Genomic DNA, 23,748 nt, shown 5'->3' on the forward strand with positions numbered 1-23,748 from the left:
TCCTGATGGATTCCAACTATCTTAGAGACTGGCTGAACATGGTATAGATTCAATAAATATTCATCAATGAAAGAATAAGTGGCCAAACTGATAGTGAAAATGGGTTAAATTCTATAAATACGTTAAAGATATAAGGGGCTGCAGTAGATACCTGCTGAGATAGAGAGGGTGATAAAGAGAGGGAGAGGAGGAGAAAGTAACTCCTGTTACATGGCTGAAGGTATTACTCTTCAAAGCATTGAATGCGAGGAAAAATACACTCAAGTTAGAAAAGAAAAAGAGCACTATTTACATGATCAATGTGTTTACTTTGAGAATAGGAGGCATTCGGTAGAAGATTGCTGAAAGTCTTCAAATTATGTTATTGATAAGGCTCTAGGCTTATTAATCACAAATGGACCTCTGCCATAACTTCCACCTTCTGAATTATTTATATATGTGTCCTTGGATGTCAAATAAACCTATGGTAGTAACTTTTTAAAATATTTCCTAAGGCAAAACATTACTAAGCATCTTTTTTTTTTTTTTTTTATCAAGGCCTGAGATTGAAGTTAGAAAATAAAGTTTAAAAATAGATATTTGAAAAGAATTGCATTTTTGTAATGACATTTTAAAGCACAGAAAAGCTGTGAATACTTTGTTTCAATCAGACCAAATTCACTTTTATAACAAATAAACTGAAAATTCATTAGGTAAAATCTTTCCAGGCATCCAGGCCTTGGGATGTTTCTCTCCCTTAGTTTCATTTCACTGGAAGGAATTCTGGCAGGCTCAGAAATCATATGAACTAACCAGGGGAGGGATGGAATCAGCCTTCATTGCCTGGTGGTTTCTCTCTGTGTGTATTGTGACATGCACACACGTGCAAATAGAGAAAACCTCCATTTAATTCCTTAAGCAATTGTAACAGGCAGGCATCATTTTCATTTAAGCATGAAGATTGGGACTCAAAGATTTGCATAACTTGGGGAAGGTCACACCGTATGAAGGAAACATATTCAAGCCCAGCCCAAACTTCAGTTCTCCCACAGCCAGCTGCCTCTCACATGAGGTCAAATTACCTGACATACATAGAGTGAGTTTGGAAACTTAATAAAAACTCTCCTCCTCTCAAATGTTTCCTCTACCTAAGTCCCTGGCGTTTGGCTCTGAACAAGTCCTTTGAGGGTAAGAGGTACTGATATTAGGAATACTTTCTAAGACACCACGCCAGTGCTTCCATTGTTAGCTTACAGTGCACACACATTCACGGAGTTTATCAGACTCCGTCCAGCCTGGGATACTCTGAGCCTCTAAGAGCCCAGGGAACTCAGACGGCAAAGTTGGAGTAGGAGACCAAATCACCCATCCTCATTCGTCATGCTGATTACTTTGCCTGCAGCTAAACCTGTCTTTAATTTTAAAATTAAATATTTTTAAAAAGTGTTTCTTCCTGTGGAATTGTGTTTTAGAAATTCTGATTTTCTTTTCCAATTTCCCTTGGAGATCAAATTTGAAGAAAATATTATTGAATACCTACATGATAATTTGCTACAGGTAATGTACAAAAGAGAATATAATGACATAAATATATTTGTGTTTATATTGTCATAAAACTCACCTTTCAGTTCTATTTAGTAAAAGCTTACCCTGTATATGGACCCATGCATGGATAGGACATGCTATCTGCTTTCTCATGAGGAGCAGAGGCACAGGTAACTTTGAGGCAGGGAGGTTGTGGTTATGCAAAGAAAGATGATAAAGAAGAAATGGGAGAGCTAGAAGACAAACAGCCATACGTGGTATGTGATAAAAAAGCTAAGTGAGCACATGGACAGAGTGCTAAAGCTCTAAGAGAGAGGAAATCTTTTTATTTCATGGTAGTAAAGCATTTACCACCTCATAATAGTTTTGTGACCTTATGAAAAAGGCTCGGGCTCTCTCAGCTCTGGTTTCCCCAGCTGTAAAATTGCAATGATAACAGCTTACCTCTGAGGATAGTTGTGAAGGTGAGGTGGTGAGCTAAAGAGCTAAGGAATCAATTAGTGGCTTTTATTATCATCATTATTGTTATTCAATGAGGAGATGATATTTGAGATAAGCCTTCCTAGAAAGAATATTTGAGGAAGTTTAGGAGAATGGGAAAGAGAACATCTATGTGGGTATGGGATGGTGAGGGGTGGAAAAAAATGGTGAACAGGTGGCATGTGCATTGTATGATTGGGAAAGGAGAGACGGGAAAGGAGCTGTCTGATTATGTCCTGGTTCCTGATGCCGGCTAGTGTGTGGTTAGGAGGGGATAAGAGGACAGGGCTAGTTTGGGGGCAATAGTTATATTATTTCTCATATGGCTTCTCAATTAACTTAGGATATTCTTCCTAAAGTGTTATCTCTGTCAGGAAAAATTGTGGAAAGACTTTGAAATGGATAAAATAATTACTAGGTGTCCTCTTTAGCTGCCTTTCCATTTTACCTAATTCTATAGGGGTCTGCACTTCTTTTGAACCATTTTATAAATCTGTAATGTGTAGAAAGCTTATGTGAATGCAAATGACTTTTTCCTAGGAATGCAAATAAACTTTGTCCAGTAGAATCAAATGTATTATTGCCCAGTAACTATTGACATCTTCTGTGTTTGTTTATTTCAGCATTTCTGATTGCACGGATGTGTGTGTTGTTTGAATCCTCCCTCATACTGATCGTAACATCTTACTGGTTCACTCATTACTTAAAGAAAATCTTTACATACATTCATTTTATATTTGTTAAGAGTCATATTTTATTGGGAGGTCGAGGCGGGAGGATCACGAGGTCAGGAGATAGAGACAATTCTGGCCAACACGGTGAAACCCCGTCTGTACTAAAAATACAAAAATTAGCTGGGCGTGGTGGCATGTGTCTGTAATCTCAGCTACTTGGGAGGCTGAGGCAGGAGAATTGCTTGAACCAGGGAGTCGGAGTTTGCAGTGAGCCGAGATCACGCCACTGCACTCCAACCTGGTCCTGGTGCCACTGCACTCCAGCCTGGCAACAGGGCCAGACTCTGTCTCAGAAAAAAAAAAAAAGAGTCATATTTTAGTTCATTATTTAATACCTCAGGGCATTTTGCTGAGCATAATTCCTTTCTGGAAGGTCACATGCATTCTGGCAGGGTGTGTCAAGAGGGGTGAAGAGGGGAATAGATGAGAGAAATAGTCTATTATACTAGCAGTCCCTATTGCCAAATCTTGCCAAATTGTCTTACCACCATTCCCACCCCCAAGTTGAAAAAAATAAGAGTTTTGAATTAAGATCTAGAGCTTTCTAATTTTTTTTCTTAAAGCGGGGTCTGCAGAAGAACAACACCATATATGCTGGGAACTTGTTGAAAAGGCAGAATCTTAAGATTCATTCCAGACATACTATATTGTAATCTTTACTTTAATGACATCCTCATGTGATTTGCACCCACTAAAGTTTAAAAAGTGCTGATCTAGAACAAAACAGTGAGACCCTGCAGCTCTCAGTTCACCACCTCTCTGCTTCCTCGTGCCTGGCTGAGACAGAGGTTCAGAGTCCATGCAGTGGCAATAAGAAAAGCCACGAGCCATGAGAGCTTAATTTTTTCTTTTATTAAATAAAGGAATCAGCATAATTGTAAGTCTCCAAAGTTTGAAACAGTTCAAGTTGAATGAGCGTAGAGACAAAAGATAATGGGATATATATATATATATATCCATATATATATATATTATTCTAGCTTAATGATGGGGATACATTCTGAGAAGTGCATCAGGTGATTTCATAATGGTGTGAACATCACAGAATGTACTCACACAGATCTAGATGGCATAGCCTACTCCGTACCTAGGCTGTATGGAATAGCCAATTACTCCTAGGCTACAAACCTGTACAGTCTGTTACTGTACTGAATACTGTAGGCAATTGTAACACAATGGTACTTGTGTATCTAAACATAGAAAGGTACGGTAAAAATATGCTATAAAATATAAAAAATGGCATACTTGTGTAGGGCACTTACCATGAATGGAGCTTGCAGGACTGGAAGTTGCGCTGGGTGAGTCAGTGAGTAGTGAGTGAATGTGAAGGCCTAGGAAGTTACCGTGCATTACGGTACACTTTATAAACACTGTTCACTTAGGCCACGCTACCTTTATAACTTTTTTCTTTCTTTAATAATAAGTTAACCTTAGCTTACTGTAACCTTTTTACTTTATAAGCTTTTTAAGTTTTAAAAAGTTTTTGACTTTTCTGTAATAACACTTAAAACACAAACACATTGTACAGCTGTACAAAATTAGTTTCTTTTGTATATCCTTATTCTAAAGCTTTTTTCTATTTTTAAATCTCTTTTTTTACTTTTTAAAGTTTTTGTTAAAAATGAAGATATGGACACGCAATAGCCTAGGCCTACACAGGGTCAGGATCATCAATATCACTCTCTTGTCCCACCTCTTGTCCCATTGGAAAGTCTTCGGGGCAAAAACACACACGGAGCTGTCATCTCCTGTGATAACAGTGCCTTCTTCTGGAATACCTCCTGGAGGACCTGCCTGAGGCTGCTTCAAAATAACTTATTTATAAGTACACTCTAAAATAATGATGAAAAATATAGTATAGTATTTATTTCATAAGCTAGTAACATAGCCATTTATTATTATGTACTGCACATAATTGCATGTGCTATAATTTTTTTACAATTGAAAATACAGTAGGTTTGTTTACACCAGGATGACCACAAACATGTGAGTAATGCATTGAGTTGTGACACGACAATGACTATGATGTCACTATTGATAGGAATTTTGTGGCTTTGTTTTAATCTTATGGGACCACCTTTGTATGTGCAGTCCATTGTTGACTACAACATTGTTATGCAGAACATGATTGTGTGTGTGTTTGTGTGTGTGAATCCAACGAGGATATCCTGCAGCTACCCGGCTATATCCTGGCAGACCCCTTTCCTGCAGCAACATGTCCATTTATTGCTGCAGACTGTTCTCACTGGTTTGATTATTCTCGGGACCCTCAGCCTTGCGGCTCATCTTTGGACTCTCCCACTCTTTTGAATTTGAGATATTGACTTCTTCTCCTCGATGCTCTCCAAGGACAATTTTTTGCCACGAACTCTTTGACATTTTTGCTGTTGGAGGACTTGAATAGGCTACCTTTGCCCTGGCAGACCCATGCTCTGGCACTAATCAGTTCTACCCTTCCAAGTGGAGAAGATAATCATGGTCTCTGGGGCTACAGCTCATATGCAAGGGCATTGGTGGAAATTGGCTATGGTTCCCATAGATGAGCACACAGTATATATTTCATTTACATGAACGAGTGGTCTTTTCAAATAAAACTTTTTTTCCCTTTTTTTTTTTTTTTTCTGGAGACAGAGTTTCACTCTGTCGCCAGGCTGGAGTGCAGTGGCACAATCTCGGCTCAGTGCAACCTCCGCCTCCGGGGTTCAAGCGATTCTCCTGCCTCAGCCTTGGAAGTAGCTGAGACTACAGGCACGTGCCACCATGCCCAGCTAATTTTTGTATTTTTAGTAGAGACGGGGTTTCACCATGTAGGCCAGGATGGTCTCGATCTCTTGACCTTGTGATCCACCCACTTCGGCCTCCCAAAATGCTAGGATTATAGGTGTGAGCCGCTGTGCCTGGCCTAAAACTCTTTGACACACACAAGGGTACAATCAATGTGTTACCATAGGTGAGTTTAACCAAATGTCCTTTAACATTACCTTAGACTCCAGGGTTTCTCAACCTTGGTAATATTCATACCTTGGGCAGAATATTTCCTTTTGTGGAAGGGCTGTGCTGAACATTGTATAATATTTATCAGCAGTCCTGGCCTCCATCCACTACATACAAGTACCCTCCTCCCTGATATGACAACTAAAAATGCCACCAGACATTTGCCAAATGTCCCTGAGGAGTGAGGAAGACGGGGGACAAAATCACCCTTGGTTGAGACATTTATCTATGTGTGTAGGTTGCTATTATTTGCAATCCTAACCCTGGAAACAAGAAAAATCTCCCAACATCTGACCTGGAGGCTTACAGAAAAAAAAGTGCTTGTCAGTAACCATTACACTTCGATTTGGGATTCCTGGGTGCATAGCAAAATAGAAAGTCGTCAGTTTTGTTTTGCTTTACTGATGTGTGCTTTAGGGGAAAAGCAAAGTGATCTGGTTGTGCTTGAATGAGATAGTGGTATTTTCATAACACAATTAGAATGGGGAAAAATTGCATGCAATTAGGTTGAAAGATGCCTTCTTTAAGATGCACTTGGCATAACAGAGCCAGCAGGTTGCAAATTATGGAATGTAGATTTTCATTATCGGGTCTGCATAATGTATAGCTTGCATTTAACAACCAGGTCTGAGGGTGGGTAGGAAGCATGTCAATTGTTTGGTGCGGTAACTAAGGCTTAACACTTTCTACCTCTGGTTTTTTTTATTGCTGTTGCCTTAATTTAAGCACATTTGCCGCTATATTTGCATTTTCTTCAGTTGCTCTTTTTTCTAGTGTATTACCATCATGGTCGCTGCCATTGACTATCAGCATCCTGTGGAAAATCATTTTAGAATCCTCCCAATGCTGGAGAGAGCAGAGATGTGAAGCCTGGCCATCCCCAACCCGGGCATGCCCAATGAGATGACTGGGAAGACCATGGCCTCAGTTTTTTCACTGGACAAAATGGGAGGAGGGGCAGTCGATGCTCATTTTCCAGTTCCTGCCTGACCCTCTCTGACCCTTTACTTTTTAAATCATTCATCAAATGACCATTTTAAAGTTTTAAAAAATTTTCAGTTCATCATTACTATCATTTTTCATCATATTTCACTGGGGCCTTATTCTTGCCAGGAAACTCTCTGCCCTAGTTCAAAACCTAGCTTACCACTTATGACAGTAGTCCCCCCTTATCTGTGGTTTCACTTTCTGTGGTTTCAGTTATCTAGTCAGCCACAGTCTGAAAATATCAAAAGAAAAATTTCAGAAAGAAATAATTCATATGTTTTCAATTACGCACTGTTGCTGAGTAGCGTGATGAAATCTCTCTCTGTCCCTCTCTATCCTGCCTGAGACGTGATGCATCCATGTGTCCGGCGTGTCTGCGCCGTAGACAGTACCTGCCTGTTAGTCACTTAGCAGCCATCTCGGTTATCAGACCGGCGGCCATTGTATTGCAGCAGTGCTTGTACTCAATTATTTAACTCAACTATTCTATTTTATTATTAATTGTTGTTAATCTCTTCCTGTGGCTAATTTATAAATTACACTTTATTATAAGGTATCCATATACAGGAAAAAACATAATATACATAGGATTCAGTACTATTTGTGGTTTCTGGCAACCACTGCAGGGGGGTTGCCTGGAATGTATCCTCATGGACTACTGTAGCTGGAAAATTGACTGAACTTCTAATCAGGGGTCATAGTCAAAATAGATAAAATTGTTGAGGCTCAACCAGTTCAAGCAGATGACAGCACAGCCCAGGAGCAGGTACTGGGAGTTCCTGCTGTACCAGGCGCTCAGCTTTGAGTCACTGGATCATGTGAAAGCAGGGAGGGGAACAGGCCAAGTGGGGAGCAGTCAAAGGAGGTGACCCAGAGGAGGACTTGGAGTAGCCAGAGTACAGGAGAGTGCTTGGGGGAATCAGGGTAGCAGATTTACCACAGATGCGGAAGCCACAGACTGTTAGTTCCGAGACTGATTAAGTCTCACCTGCCTCATACAAAATGGAAATTCAAATAGTGTTTATTGATAGGGTTATTATGGTGCTTCACGGAGATTTTGCAAGTAAAGCACATAGCATAAGGCCTGATGCAGCATAAGTGCTCAATAAATATTAGCCAATATTATTATCATTACCCGATTGTGTCTTCCATATCTCTTTTTGTGTTTCTTCATTGCTTTATCCTACCCACATGTCTATTCTGTGCATTTCTGGTTCTATTTCCCCATTTCTCTATTGTTCCTGTTTAAAGTTTTCTCATGTCCTTAATGTTGTTTCTGCCCTTTTATGTTTCTCTATTTTATTTCTCCTTTTCTGTTAGTATTTTGTCATGCATATCTCCCAAATTTATGTGGGAATGAATATGTGAATGGAATGGGAATATGAGGCACAAAGCAATTTTCAAAATAATGGATGCCTGCAAGTGAAAACGAAGGGAGGGGGATATTTCACTGGCACCATAACTGGGATTCACAGACTTTCTGCTGAGTTTTGAGGTTATGGAAAACCCATGTGCCTGTATGACAGAGTTCTGTCCATGGGAAAAAGGAGACTTAGAGGAGGGTGTCTGGGGTGTTGTGTCAGGGCCAGAGACTGAGCTACGGGCAAATAATACAGTACGTTCCCAGACTTGCGTCAGAGCCCAAGAGGAAGGAAGAGCGCGGTGAAAGCTGAGGAAGTCATTTATGTAACGGACTCTGTGAGATCAGAGACAAGGAGTAAAATGCCTGAGCTCAAGTGACAACAAGCAACCCCAGACTAGAGACAGGATCCTTCTCCCCACTTCGAGCAGATCCCAGCATGAATCCTGCAGTATGGTGATGGCAAAAGTCAGTGCAGGACCACTGGGACTCCTGGAGCTTCTCACATCTCTGAGAGCACCAGCAGCAGGTATTTTGCTCAAAGCAGAGGTGTTCTCAGGGGGGGATGGTTTGACCAAATGTATCTACGGTGCCTTGTGGGAGTGGGCATAGCATGTGAAGACCAGAATAAAGACCTCGTAAGAGAAGTGGTTGTCAGCTGTCAATGATGCTCCAAATAACTGAAATTCATGGCGAGTTAGAGTCATGTGGGGTGATGCAAAGATTCTGAGGGTACCCGTGGAAGCTGCAGTCTAGCAGAGTGGGTTTTAAGCACTGAAGTTACCTCATTTGTGTCTACAGGCTGGGCTATGGGTTGGCTGTTTGACCCCCTCAAACCTCATGTTGAAGTTTGATTCCAGTGTTGGAAGGGGGTCTAATTCGAGGTGTCTGGGTAGTAGGAGCAGATCCCCATTAATAGATGAATGCCCTTTCTGAGGGGAGGGAGTGACTGAGTTCTCACCATGTTAGTTCCCATGAGAGACAGCTGTGAAAAAGAGCCTGGCACTATTTCTCCCTCTCTTGCTTCCTCTCCCACCATGTGATCTCTGCACAGCCAGCTCTCCTCTGCCGTTTGCCATGAGTGGAAGCAGCCTGAGGCCTCACCTGATGCAGATGCCACTGCCATGCTTCTAGTAGAGCCCACAGAACCATGAGCCAAACAAACCTTTCTTCTTATTGTTTTTCTTCCCAACTTTTGTTTTAGTTGGGAAATAAAGGCCCAGTGGAGTGTTTTCTCCACTGTGTTGTGACAGTGGGCCATGAACTTGCCTCATCTTCCTAATAGTTATCTACTACTTAATGTCCGAAGAAACATATGTATTGGCTTGACTAATGTTACATTTATGTTGTTAAGAAACATGTACTCAGGGGCTACATGTGCAGGTTTGCTACATGGGTAAATTTCATACCATAGGAGTTTGGTGTACAGATTATTTTGTCATCCAGGAAATAAGCATAGCATCTATAGGTATGTTTTTGATCCGCACCCTCCTCCTATCCTCCACCCTCAAGCAGGCTTTGGTGTCTATTGTTCCTTTCTTTGTGTACATGTGTACTCCATGTTTAGCTTTCACTTACAAGTGAGAACATGAGGTATTTGGTTTTTTGTTCCTGCATGAATTATCTTAGGATAATGGCATTCAGCTCCATCCATGTTGCTGCAAAAGACACGATCTCATTGTTTTTTAATAGTGGCATAGTATTCCATGGTGTATATATACCATGTTTTCTTTATTCAGTCCACTGTTGATGGGCATGTAGGTTGACTCCATGTTTTTGCTATTGTGAATAGTGCTGAGATAAACATACATGTCCATGTGTCTTTATGGTAGAACAATTAATATTACTTTGGGTATACACCGAGTAACAGAATTGCTGGGTCAAAAGGCTGTTCTACGTTAAGTTCTTTGAGAAATCTCCAAACTGCTTTCCACAATGGCTGAACTAATTTACATTCCCACTAACAGTGTATAAGTATTTCCTTTTCTCTCCAATAAACCTCTTGTCTTTATAAATTACCCAGCCTCAGATATTCCTTCATGGCATTTCAAAACAGACTAAGACATGGTGGTTGTCTGAAGTTATAGAGGCAGATACAAAAAGGAAAATTATGCTAATTACTACTTCTAACCTCATCCCTCACTCCACCTTTCAGAAATTAGGATTAAGTATGTCTGGGGCAAGGCCCAGGAATCTGAACTTTTAACGAGTACACCATCCTCCCCTTCTGTTCCTATCCTAGATCCTTAGAATATACACAAAGTTTTCATGGACCACACATTATGAAACACTGGATTAGCGCAAAGTGAAATGCTTCCAGAGTAGGAGCCACTATTCTGAGGAATCTTGGAAGAAAAAGTATCAAAATATGTTACTATGTTTTGGGGGGATAGAGACAGAACTTAAAATTGATTGAACTCCAAATATGGCCAATTTTTTGGATGATTTAATCTTTCCCTAAAGCTCTTTGTTTACCCATAAAATGTGAACTTTCCTTGACTTTGACTGGGTATGGAGTAGATTGATGGTATTGACTGATATTTTTGAGTGTGTAGTTTGTGGTTTTATGAGGCATTTTTATATTGTCTTTACACTTTTGGAAAGTATATGCAATTGCTAAAACTTCAACGTTATCTTTTTCTTTTGATGAAATAGAAAACATCGCCCATTTCATCTGTTTCTTCAGTCCCCAGATAGCAGATGACTGGTAGGAAGATGAGGCAAGTTTGCGGTCCATTGTCATGGATAGTGGAGACAACACTGGGCCAGAAGTGGTAAGACCTGAATCCAAGACTCAGCTCTGCCACTTGCTAAATGGGACTTTGAATAAACCATTTCTCTGCACTTAAGTTCCTTACCAACAAAACGAGGGAAGTGGCCTACATGCCTAGATATCAACATTTCATGTCACGTAGAGATCTAGCATCACAAGAATCCAAGTCATCCTCTGTTGCCTTTAAGGTAAGCGCTGTTGAAAAATAATCAGCTATCAGAGTGCTCAATTCCAGTCTTCAATTACGTAAAGAAAACCAATACCGTATACCTCTTGGCCTGCCCATTTCAGGACAGGGTGGAGGAGGCAGAAGGAAGTGGGAGTTGCACTGGGGAGGGAGAGAGACTAGCTCTTCCAGCTGCTCTTATGATGAGGAAATAATTACTTAATGGCTAGGCAATTTGTGAAGCAGCTGCTGGTGGTTTGGGGACCCAGCTGTTCCAAAAAATAAAAAGAATTGGGTTTTCTCTTTCCATATCCTTCCCATAGTAGACAAATTAGATATGTAGTTTCAAAATAAATGATTAATTCCTACTGAGAAATGTTCTTTAGAATCCCTTGTTGAGTAAGAGTCTAAAGGATTGGTTAAGTTTCAATGCTCACATTTAAAAATAAATCTTAAAAGTATGAGAATTTGAGAGAAATCTAAGCTCATCGGAAATGTATACCAAACCCTCTACCTGATGTTGCTATAATTGATAGTCATTTTTTTTAATCCCTGAGGTAAAATAAAATCAAACAATAACATGCCAGAACAACTGTCTCTTTTTTCTGGCTACGGAGTGTGGAACAAAAGCAGGTTCCATTCTTTGGTGGCATTGGCCAGGCAAGCAGGGTGTCTGGACAGCTAGGGAGAAGGTGACAATGGGATGGAAATCAGATGCTCACTCAGTAAATATCTGTGAGCAAGTAAGTGGACTAGGGATTTTGTGGGTTTTTTATGTCATCCTCAGAGGCATGAGGGAAGAAGGTCTCAGTCTATCCATCGTGCAGATGAAAAAACCAAAGCCCACATGACTTACTCACCTAAGCTTTCCCAGTGGTGATGTGTGGAATCAAGTTGAAAAGGTAGAAAAGAGGTTAAAGGAAACACATTTGGAGTCTAGCTGTTTGAATCCTGGATCTGCCAGTGTCTGAGGTTGGACAAGTGACTTAGCCATCGAGGCTTCCTTTCCACTCAGCACAGTTGTCCAGCAGACCGTGAGCTCCAATTCAGTGACAGAGATGATTAACTCCGTCTGGCTTGAAACGCTTGCTCATGTACTACACTTTGCTACGCTGAAAGTAACACAGGTTTGCAGAAAAAAAATAATAATCAGCGCCACATCTGGCTACAGAAAACCCATTATATACCACAAAACAGCATGTATTAGCTTGGCTTACATTACATTTATGTTGTTCAGAAAGAAACAGGAATCAAGAGGGATGTAATTCTGACTCTTTTCATGGGGTGGTCATTAAACAGCCTTTACTCACCTTTCCACTCTGAGTATTAACTTCTGAGTTGTCAGTGGTCTGAGCAGGACCTGGGCAGCATGTTGCATTTTCAGCAGTTGCAGGAGGACATCTTTCCATAAATTTCCCCTGGAAGGAAGGAAATAATAACATAATCTCATCATCTGCTGATTGAACAAGATCTGCTATATTACAAATCTGCTTAGCTGAGGAGCGGCTCTCCTGGCCTGCTTTCCTCCAGCTGTCTAAATATTACTTAGTTCCAAAACCTGTCTTACTCCTACTTCCTCCAACAAATCCCATCTCAAGGCCTTCAGGCCACACTGACCTCTTTCTCCTTTTCAGAGTCCCAAAGTTCCTTGCATCTGTACCACACATTTCAGAACTTGTTTTGATGATCTTGTATTGTCCTCTGACTCATTTTAAACCAATATTTGTTCCTTGAGAATGAAGATCATACTAACAATCTCTTTGTCCCCTGCAGATTTCAGCATGGTGAAGGAAAAGTAGCAGAAGACTGAATGCATACTCAGTTTTCAAGCTCTGGATTTAATCTTTCCATAGCTGGAATTGCCTCCTCCTCAAAAGCCTTATTTGTTCATTTAATTGGGGCAACATGAAATAATGATGTATCATTGACAGAGAACAGGGGGCTTAGGTTCTCATCTTGGTCCTAGTGATTACTCTATGCATAACCTCAACTTCTTTATCTGTACATTGGGAACAATAATTCTTACTCCACTTGTTGTGTTGAAACTGAATTATATAATTCATAAATTAAAACACCAAATTCTGATAAATGCTAAATGCCATTTTCTTATCTTGTTCTTTCCTATAATGCCCATTTTGATATAAACCAGGCTCCCTAGTCAGTCTTGCAGAAGGTATTCTCAAGAAGAACTTATATCTTTGGTTTATCAACAAATTTGCAAAGCTGTGTTGATAATCTAGAGCTGAGTCTTTTAACAAGTTTTAACAATATCTCAATTACTATGATGTAGGTCTCTTAATAAAATGTAAATGTAAATGTGACAGAAGTCAACATTAGGACTTTTAGGAAGGGATATAGACACTCAACATTCCTCTTTGTTCAGGAGGGTGACATAGCACAGCTTGCCACCTGTGAGCTAACCTTATCTAGAACACAGCATAGGAACTACTGCTTGACTAGAAAACTAATTTATAAAGCTTAAGGAACTTAAGGGACTTTCAGGGACTAATTTACCATCATAAAATATCTATCTCTACGAAGAAAGAAGAGAGTTTTAAGTACTTGAAAATAAAAATCTTATATTTTAGACTTTTTGAGTGAAACTTCTTCACCCTTGCAATAGACTGGCCAGAAAAAGAGTGATTGCCATCTCCCATCTCTTAGAATAGCATGCTTGCCTGCAGACTCTGTGGCCATGTTTCAACAACTGGATTAGACCTCTTTCAATATCAAATCCATATCTGATCAATTTCAAGTTGTTCCTGTCCCTTGGGAGTGGTTTGCCATTTCCTGCCTATGACTGAATTCCTGCTTTCTTCTTATCCTCAATAGCTCATGGCACGGACATTCTCGTGTGCCTTGTCCACATCATGACCCTGCTATCCATTTGGGTGACCTCCACACTTTGTGTTTCCCACTTTCATATCACATGAGACTCTCAAGGAGAGAGTTTCAGGATGGGTAAAGCTAAGAAGTAAAAATAGAAAAGGTGGTGAAAATTCAGTAGACTAGCATACAGGTTGACAGAAGAACACATTTATTTTCTAGTGGGGAGTGATCCGTGAAGAAAGACCCGAATCAAGAAGTCTTTCAGAATTCTGGTTTTAATAGTTTCCCAAATTTACTTATTAACATTTACATTCAAGCCAGAGAGAAAAGAGAGGAAGTCATTCAAGAGAAAATTGTCACAAGAAGAGCCTATCCAATGGAAATGGCCACCTCTTATTGATCACTTACCATAGGCTGGGTGTATAGGGCAAGGGTCCTTAAGATTAGCTGCATAGCAGAATCACCAAGGGAACTTTTACAAATCCTGATGCCAGGGCTAACTGCAGACCAATACAGGTGGAATCCAACATATTTAAAGCTACATAAGTCATTTCAATGTGCAGCTAATTTTGAGAGCCACTTTCAATGGTGCTAGAGCCAGCTCTTATTAGCTCACAGAAGCCAATTATTAAATTTTCAGTAATTCTGTAAGCGAAACACATTGGCCACAGAGGGAATATTTACACCATGGAAACTTACAAATGCTGCAAATCGTTTTTTTATCTCTCTGGAGAACTAGTTTTTAAACATTTATAAACACACTGGTGGCCCTAAGGGGTAAACATATAACTTGCTATTTAAATCTGGGCAATTTTAAGACACATAGAGGGGAACAAAACATACTGGAGCCTGCCAGAGGGTGAGGGGTGTGAGGAGGTAGAGGATCAGGAAGAATAACTAACGGGTACTAGGCTTAATACCTGAGTGATGAAGTAATCTGCGTAACAAACTCCCATGACAACACAAGTTTACCTGTGTAACAAACCTGCACATGTACCCCTGAACTTAAAATAAAAGTTAAAAGAAGAAAAAGCACAAAAAAAAAGAACAGAAAGAAGACATTGTTAATAATTATGCCAGGACAATTAGCTTGAATCAGAAATTATGATCACTTTAAGTATCTAGGTAGTTAATACTCACAATACCTATGAAAGACAGTTATCATAATGGCCATTTAATGATTAGTCAACAGTGTCTTGGGGAATTTAAGTAAGTTTCTCAAATTTCTTTCACAGAAATTAGAATTAAAGGAATCAGAATTGAAGTGAATCTGACTACACTAAGCCTATCACTTGTGACAGCCATGGGAAGATATCATTGGTTGCTGAGGAGCAGAAATAAGCAGAGACCTATTGTGTTAGGTTATCATTCATTTCAGGTACTTTATGGAGTAGCGATGGTCTAAAATAGTGAGTTTTATAGAGGATTCATTTGAACATATTTCTGATGACTGTATAACAAGTTAGAAACTTAAAATGTAAAGATGTGGTCCTAAGGCAGAAAAATCGGAGAATAAGTGTTCCACTGAAATGTCTTCTGTGTAACTATGTCCTGTGTGGGATGAAAAATCTATTAACACTTGATGTTTAAGAGAGAACTCAAGAATCACCTGGCTGTTAGGTATTTGTGCTCCAGGTTGGTTGAGAGGTGAGACAGAGAGGGAGAGGGAAAAGGGAAGGAGGGAGAAAGAAGGGAGAGAGGAAATGGGAGAGAGTGAGGGAGAGATGGTGACTGAAATTAGACAGAGATGGAGGATCGTGTTATCTTGTTACCTTTCTTTTATCACTGACTATTCTACCAAACACAAGGCATATTAAAAACTATCTCCACTCTGTACAGTCTCATTCCACACTTCTTTCCCAATTCTCAGCAGTTGAACTTGCCTCCTACTTTAGATTAAAAGTGGAAGCTGTTAGATTGGAAGTATCGATCCTAAACCTACACACACATCCACCTACACATAACACATTCCATCTTCTCTCTCCCTATTACACTGGCAGAGCCATTTCTCCTCCTATCTAAAGTCATCTTTTCCTTCTGGCCCTTGAATTCTCCCATCCTCCACATCCATGCACTGTCAGGATCTCTCTAGTACATTTCTCTCATTCTCCCTCATTTGGATCTACTCCATTGGCCTTTGTCATTGTTTGTTTGCCTTTAAAAACAACATTTTATTAGAGCTCATAATTTTATGGTCAGGAATTCTGTGGTCAGAAATTCAAGCTCCTTTTGGTTGGCCAAGTCTTCTTTTCCACCTCTTTTGACTAAGGTCACTCCATGGAATTCAGCGGGCAGATGGTCAGGCTGGGAGGTCTGCCATGGCTCTGCTCACATGGCTGATGTCTTAATGGGGATGGCCTCAGCTGGGGTCACTGGCCACGGTACCTACAGATGGCCTCTCAAGCATGGTGGCACCTGGGTAGCCCTGCTTCTATTTAATTTTTTTTATTTTTATGATTTGTATCAATACATAATATTTGTACATATTATGGGGTACATGCAGTGTTTTGATACATGCATACAATGTGTAATGATCAATTGGAGTATTTAGGATAGCCATCACCTCAAACATTTACCATTTCTTTGTTAAGAACATTTCAAGTCTTCTCTTCTAGCTATTTTAAAATATAAGATATGTTGTTAATTAGAGTCACCCTACTGTGCTATTGAACACTAGAACTATCCCTTCCATCAAATTGTATTTTTGTACCCATTAACAAACCTTGCTTCATCCCTCTCACCACATCCATCTCTCCTACCACAGCCTCTGGTAACTATCATTTTCCTCTCTACCTCCATGAGATCAACTTTTTAGCTCCTACATTATGAGTAAGGACATGTAATATTTGTCTTTCTGTGCCTGGCTTATTTCACTTAACATAGTGACCTCCAGTTCCATCTATGTTGCTGCAAATAAGAAGATTTCATCTTTTTAATGGATGAATTGTATTCCATTGTGCGTACGACTCACATTTTCTTTATCTATTCATCCATGGATGGACACAGGCTGATTCCCTATCTTGACTATTGTGAATAGTGCTGCAATAAACAAGGAAGTGCAGGCATCCCTGTGATGTACTGATTTCCTTTCCTTTGGATCAATTCCCAGTGATGGGATTACTGGACTGTGTGGTAGTTCTATTTTTTCATTTCTTGAAGAAACTCTATATGGTTTTCCAATGGCTGTACTGATTTACATTACACAACAGTGTACAAGAGTTCCCTTTTCTCTGCATCCTTGCCAGCATTTGTTATTTTTGTCCATTGGCTTTTAAGTATTCTTAAATCTCTCCTTAAAAAAAAAAAAAAAAAAAGAAAAGAAATGAAATCTCACTATTCTACCAAGCCTTCACACCTCTGTTTCTTCTTTCATTCACAGTCAAATATCTTGAAAGAGCTACTTATTCTTGCTAATTTCATTTCTGTATCTCCCACTCAATCCTCAAGACCTTCTGATCTGACTTTGCTCCCTTCTTGCCCTTATCACGCCACTGAAACAGCTCTTGGTAAGGCCATCAAAACCTTCATTTACATGATCTCTGTCTGATTGATACTTTTTATTCCTAACTTGAATATACTCACTAGAATTTGACATCCCTGCTCACTTTCTCTCTTTGGTTTCTGGTTTCCGTGACTTAACACTCCTGGTTTTCCTCCTAAATTAGTAATTGCTCCTCCTCAATGTCGTTAGAAAATTTGCCGTCTTCTACACAGCCACCAAATGCTGTTCAAAACACGGCCTGTGCCCTCTTCTCTCTGCTCTCTCACCTCTCAGTTAGCCAACCTGGAGCACAGAAACCTAACACCCAGATGATTCTTGAGTTCTCTCTTTTTCAACTGTGGCACTACCGATGTTGTGGAATGGACAATTTCTTGTTATGAAGTGGGGTTCATTATGGTAGCTGTCCTGTGTACTGCAGGTTGTTTAGCAGAATCCCTGACCTCTATCTGATAGAGGCACTCCCCTCTCACCCCTCCAAGTTGTGACAACAAAAAAATATCTACACACATCATCAAATGTTCCGTGGGACATTTGAATCACCCTTAGTTAAGAACAACTGTTCCGCTCATTTTAGGTGAGCTCATTTACACTCATGGCTTTATTTTCCCCTGTCATACAAATAATTAATAAATAACATCTCCATCACTGAAACCTTGTAGAGGCACCAGATGCATGTAAACATTTTCCCTCTTGATGCATTAATCTTAGAAGACTCAAAAGCATTTCAAACTGAATATGGCCAAGAATAAATTTGTAATCTTCCTCCCCTTCCCTAAAACCTAGTACTGTTGTAGTGTCCTTTTTCTCAGTGGGTAGATTTACCATCCATCCACTTATACAAGCTGTCAACTGAGAGTCCATCTCCAACCCCCCCTTTCTAATGCTGCAAATCAAACCATCATTGAGTTTTACTTTTTAGTTTTGAGATATAAAAGTTTCCTTAAACATTAGAGTAAAAGTTATATTTATAAAGGGAAACTGATACATTTAACTTCATAAAAAATAAAAACTTTTAAGATGAAAACACAGCAAAAATAACTAAAAATGATATAATTTATATGAAATAAATAACTAACAGATAAATCACGAAAAGACAAATGACCAAATAGAAAAGAAGGCAAAGGTCAGGAGTAGGCATTTCTTAAAGGAGCATCATGAATGGTGATGAACACACACACAAAAAATGTTCATTCTTATTAGTAATCAGAGAAATAGAAAAGAAAATCATATATAAATAAAACATTATTGTTTGATTTGCATTTGGAATTATTCCCATCCCAATTTATCTTCCTTTGCTCTTTATCTCTTCCATCAACCCATGTCTTTTAACAGGATTACTTTTTTTAATGTCAAAGCCTCCTGTCTTAATTGTCTAGTACAGTCTGCTGCAGTCTTGTATTATTGTTTGTCTGAAAATGTCTTTGTTTCAACTTCATTTTTAAGCTGCATTTTCCTAGATCTAGTAATTTAGCAATTATTTTCTTTTGTTTCCTTGGAAATGTCATTCCATTGTTTTCCAGCTATTGTTGCTTTTGAGACAGCAGTTGTAATTCTATGGTTTCAATAAAAGTAATGTCTTTTTAAAAAAATTTTCTGCTGCTTTTAAGATTTTCTCTTTGACTTGATATTCAGCAGTTTCACTCTGATGTATTTAGCTGAATATCTATTTTTATTTATCCTGTTGGGTACCACTGAGTTTCTTGAATCTGTAGGTTGAAGCTTTTGCCTTGTTAAGGAAAACTCTGAGCTGTTATCTCTTCAAATATTGCCTCATTTTTAACTTTCTGTTCTTCTGGGACCACAATTTTTCAAGTAAAGGCTAGATCTCATGGAATCTACTATATCTTTTCATACTATTCTAATTTTTCCACCTTTGTGTCCTTTTTATGCTATATTCTAGATGATTTCTTCTGAGTTATCTTCTAGTTTAAAATTTTCCTTATGGCTATATGTAATCTAATGTAAAACCTACTCTTTGAGTAATTGATTTTGATTATTGTACCTTAGGCTTAGAAGTTTAGTTTCATTCTTTAGTTTATAATATGCTATATTATATTTTATCATTTTTTGTTTGCTGTTACATTTTCAAGCTTACCTTTGTTTCTCTGCACATAGTACAATCACTTATTTTAAAGACTGATCACACAAAATTTAAATATTTTGTGGGTCAGCTTCTCTTTTTTGTTGGCTCTTGCTCATGATGTCTTTCGTTTCTCTGTTACCTGGAAATCTTTAACTCTATATAGTTATTTGTAGAAATAATTTGAATATCTTTAAATAAATACCTTACTTAAGGGAAGATTTGGATTTGCTTCTGAGAAACTCGTAGGGAAGTACTAACTCAGATAGATCTTAAAACAAATTCAAGGCTGGAGGATCACTGGGAGATCTACAGATGAAACTTGGTTACAATTCCTCCTAAGGACTGGGCCTCTTCTCATTCATTCTTATCCTGACTACATTGTGTTGAATCTTCCTATTGTTCAATTTCCGCATCTGTAAAATAGGCAAAAGAATACCTAGCTTGCTGATTTGTTGTAAAAATTAGAGGTAGCAAGCGTTGATACAGGAAAGTGATTTTTTTAGACTATTGTGGATAAATATCAACAGATGTTATGAACTAATTGGCTTGAATGTGTTTGATAATATAGGATGCTGTATCTATTCTAATTTTGTATTTCGTTGCTGCTTTAAATTTACTGAGAAACTACTCTTTTCATAGCTTTGACCCTTTTATACACATATTTGTAATCTTGAGCAACCAATATTGATGGATCTCTGCTGTGAGAGAGATGGTCCTTTAAGGAAATGTCATAAATACTTGATTTTGATGTTTCTATTTTTAAAATTTTGCAGTATTCACGGTAACTAGCCAATTTTAAGATATGAATACTATGTCAAGGATTTACTTTTTCTAACATTTAGTACTTGGAGTGGACAGAATGTATTTTAAGAAAAGATTTCTCCCTGTCTTAGTTGTTCCCCTTTGGCCTGTGAAGAGTGGAACAGGAGTTACACAAATAGAGATGATTGCCTCTCCATCCTGACAAAGTATGATAAAGACCACCGAAGTGTTGTACGCAAGAAAGCACAGGATGGCTGGGATGAGTGAACTATGTATCCCAGGTTTTACTTAGGCCTCAGCATCCAGTGGTAACCCTGTCAATTCTTTGCTCTCTCTGATCATTTGCAAGTATTGAGAGGAAGACACTATTTTGGGGTTAATTAGAATCATACAGTATTTATCTTTTGTGACTGGTTTATTTCATTGGTTTAATATCCTCAAGCTTCATCCACGTAGCAGTATATGCCAAAATTTCCTTCCTTTTTAGAGCAGAATATTTCATTGAATGCATGTGTCATATTTGGCTTATCTATTCATCTGTTGATGGACAATTCCATTGCTTTCATGTTTTAGGTTTTGTGAATAATGCTGTTACTAACATTGGTTTACAAATACATTGCTGAGACCCTACTTTCAGTTCTTTTGGTTATATACTTAGAACTGGAATTGCTGAATCATATGGTAATTCTATTTTTTAATTTTTTGAAGAACTTCCACACTGTTGCTCTAACTTCTATTATTTATTTGCTTCTGCTAGCTTTAGGTTTAGTTTATTCTTTTTATGGTATCTTAAAGTATGAAGCTAAGTTACTAACTTGGAATCATCCTTTTTTAAATTGATACATAATATTTTACATGTTTATGGGGTATATGTGGGTACATTTCTTACACGCATAGAATGTGTAATGATCAAGTCAGGGTATTGGGAGCGTCCATTGCCTTGAGTATTTATCATTTTTGTGTGTTGGGAACATTTCGAGCCCTCTCTTCTAGCTACTTTAAAATATATAATGCACTGTTGCTAACTATAGTCACCCCGCTCTGCTATCAAACATTAGAGCTTATTTATTTTAACTGTATGTTTATACTCATTAAATAATTTCTCTTCATCCTTCCTCCCACCCACACTCTTCCCATCCTCTGGTATCTGGCATTTTATTAATCACTTTCATGATTTTTTTTTTTTTTTTGAGATAGAGTCTCTCTCTGTTGCCCAGGCTGGAGTGCCATGGCAAGATCTCGGCTCACTGCAAACTCTGCCTCCTGGGTTCAAGCAAGTCTCCTGCCTCAGCCTCCCAAGTAGCGAGAGTTACAGGCATGCGCCACCAGGCCTGGGTAATTTTGTATTTTTAGTAGAGATGGGGTTTCACTATGTTGGTCAGGCTGGTCTCGAACTCCTGACCTCAAGTGATCCACCCACCTCAGCCTCCCAAAGTGCTGGGATTACAGGCGTGAGCCACTGCACCCGGTCGAGTTCTACTTTTTTAGCTCCCACATATGAGAATATGTGGTATTTGTCTTTCCTGTCCCTGGATTGTTTCATTTAACATAATGACCTCAAGTTTCATCTATATTGCTGAAAATAACATAATTGCATTCTTTTGTATGGCTAAATAGTATTCCATTGCGTGTGTGTATATATATAAATCTATATATATATATTTATATATACATATATAACAACATTTATGTTGTTCCTCTACATGGGTCATATTTCCCAATTTCATTTTATGCCTTTTTTTTCTTGTTGTTGTTAAAAATTGGGCATTTGAAAAAAGTGGACACTTCTCCCCATCTTTGCAAACTGATGTGGAAGACTGTTACTACTTAGTGGGCCCACCTATCCTTGACATTAGCCTGGGTTGAAGTCTTAATGTCTTTTCAGATCCTTTCTGGGTATGCATTCTGTCTGGGCCTCTGTGTGTGTGTGTCTGTCCCTGTGTGTTTCCAGGCTTGTTTTAAGTGTCTTAATTTCCCAAAATATCTCACTCTAGCTTTTTCTAGGGGGTTCTAAATGTTCTATTGCATTCCTTGGCCTGTAATCTCTTCACTCTAGATGTTCAATGGTCTGAAGTGCCTCTGTGGTTTTCATATACTACAGTAAGTACCACGGCCTTCTATGAACTGGAGCTTCCTAATCCACCCTCTTGCTGACATCACACTAAATATTCACTTTTGTAACTACTTTTATATTTCAAAATTTGCATCCCTTTTCAAAAAATAGGTTATACACCAAAGTGTGTGAGCGTTAGGCCCCTGAATCTGAATCTACATCTGGAAGTAAGAAGAAAGAAATTTTAACTGTGAAACAAGTTTGAATTTTCGTTATTTACATGAATTGCAAAAACAAGTCATTTATATCTAAAGGTGATAAAAGATTTTATTTTTATTTTTTGTTTTATGAAATCAACCCTCCTATCCAAAGTAACAGAAATAATCTATTCAGAGTCATGGAAAAAACAGAGTGGGCTGTTGGAATTGGAAAGAAACAAGTATGTGTGTGATCTATCTCTATCATCTATCTATCTATTATCTATCATTTACTTCATGGCTTAGTGTATGCCCATATATGTCCTTTAAAGGGGGAAATAATAATATTTAATCTGAGAACGTATTTATAATTTTGACAAGTGTTTGTGGACACTGGTTTTATAGTTAGGTAGACTTGAATTTATCCTAGGTCTGTTTTTGTTCACTCGGGAAAGTTGCTTATCCTCTAAATAACCTTGGTTTTCTCTATCTGTAAAATGACATCATAGAACATGTTTTAGGGTTGTGGTAAGAACAAAATGAGATAATTCAAGTAAAGGTTTTAGCATAATGCCTGACATGTAGAAAACACTAGCATTCAAAAAGGAGTCATTATTATCATTTTTACTATTACTTATTAATACATACTTGGAGAAGCAGGTAGTTTGGTGCTCTTACATTATCACTGAATAAATTGAGGCCAAGAGTTTAAATATTTTGTTCATAATTACTTAGGAATTTATGAGTATACCTTTAGCTTGTAAACTGTAGAAATTATTAACATCTTTGCCTTTCCATCAGTTCATTAAGAACTGCAAATTATAAATGTTTCTGGACTCTAAGCTGAGTATGCAGTATCTTATGAAAACATCAGGCAGGTGGGGTTGGATTTGGTATTTTTTCTAAGAATTTAGTCCCTTTATTGCTCAAATTACTGGAAAATCAATGACTTGTGCCAAACAAATTGTTTTCTTTCTCTAGACAAAAAGCAGATCAGCAAGTTTTCATATTGCACTATTTTCAATGGCTGGAGCATCAACATTTTACAACAAGAAAAAAATTAAAATTCTTCAACATTTGGAAAAGAAGTGTTTGTAAAACTTTTCACATCCATTCACCATCCGGAAAAGCAAGGTTTTACAGTGAGGCCTGATGATGTCTAGAGTCACCATGCATCTTGGAAAATGACCTCCTATTTATTTCTTCTACAGGACACCATGGTGTTCACCTTTCTACAACTTTACACTTGCTGAGGACATATTGTGGAAAATTAAGAGAAATATATATGGATGGCCAAGGCTGTA

The 23,748-nt window shown here is 38.5% G+C and overlaps 1 long non-coding RNA gene across 1 annotated transcript; it reads left to right on the top strand.

Annotated features, from left to right (window-relative positions):
- The first annotated feature begins 1,951 nt into the window (after positions 1-1,951).
- LINC02207 (long intergenic non-protein coding RNA 2207) lies at positions 1,952-23,748 on the top strand. Its single transcript, NR_120321.1, has 4 exons — positions 1,952-1,988; positions 10,766-11,040; positions 15,083-15,225; positions 23,426-23,748. It is a non-coding gene; the product is annotated as a long intergenic non-protein coding RNA 2207 (long non-coding RNA).

The sequence above is a fragment of the Homo sapiens genome, chromosome 15 (genome assembly GCF_000001405.40).
Source record: "Homo sapiens chromosome 15, GRCh38.p14 Primary Assembly".
Taxonomy (NCBI): Eukaryota; Metazoa; Chordata; class Mammalia; order Primates; family Hominidae; genus Homo; species Homo sapiens.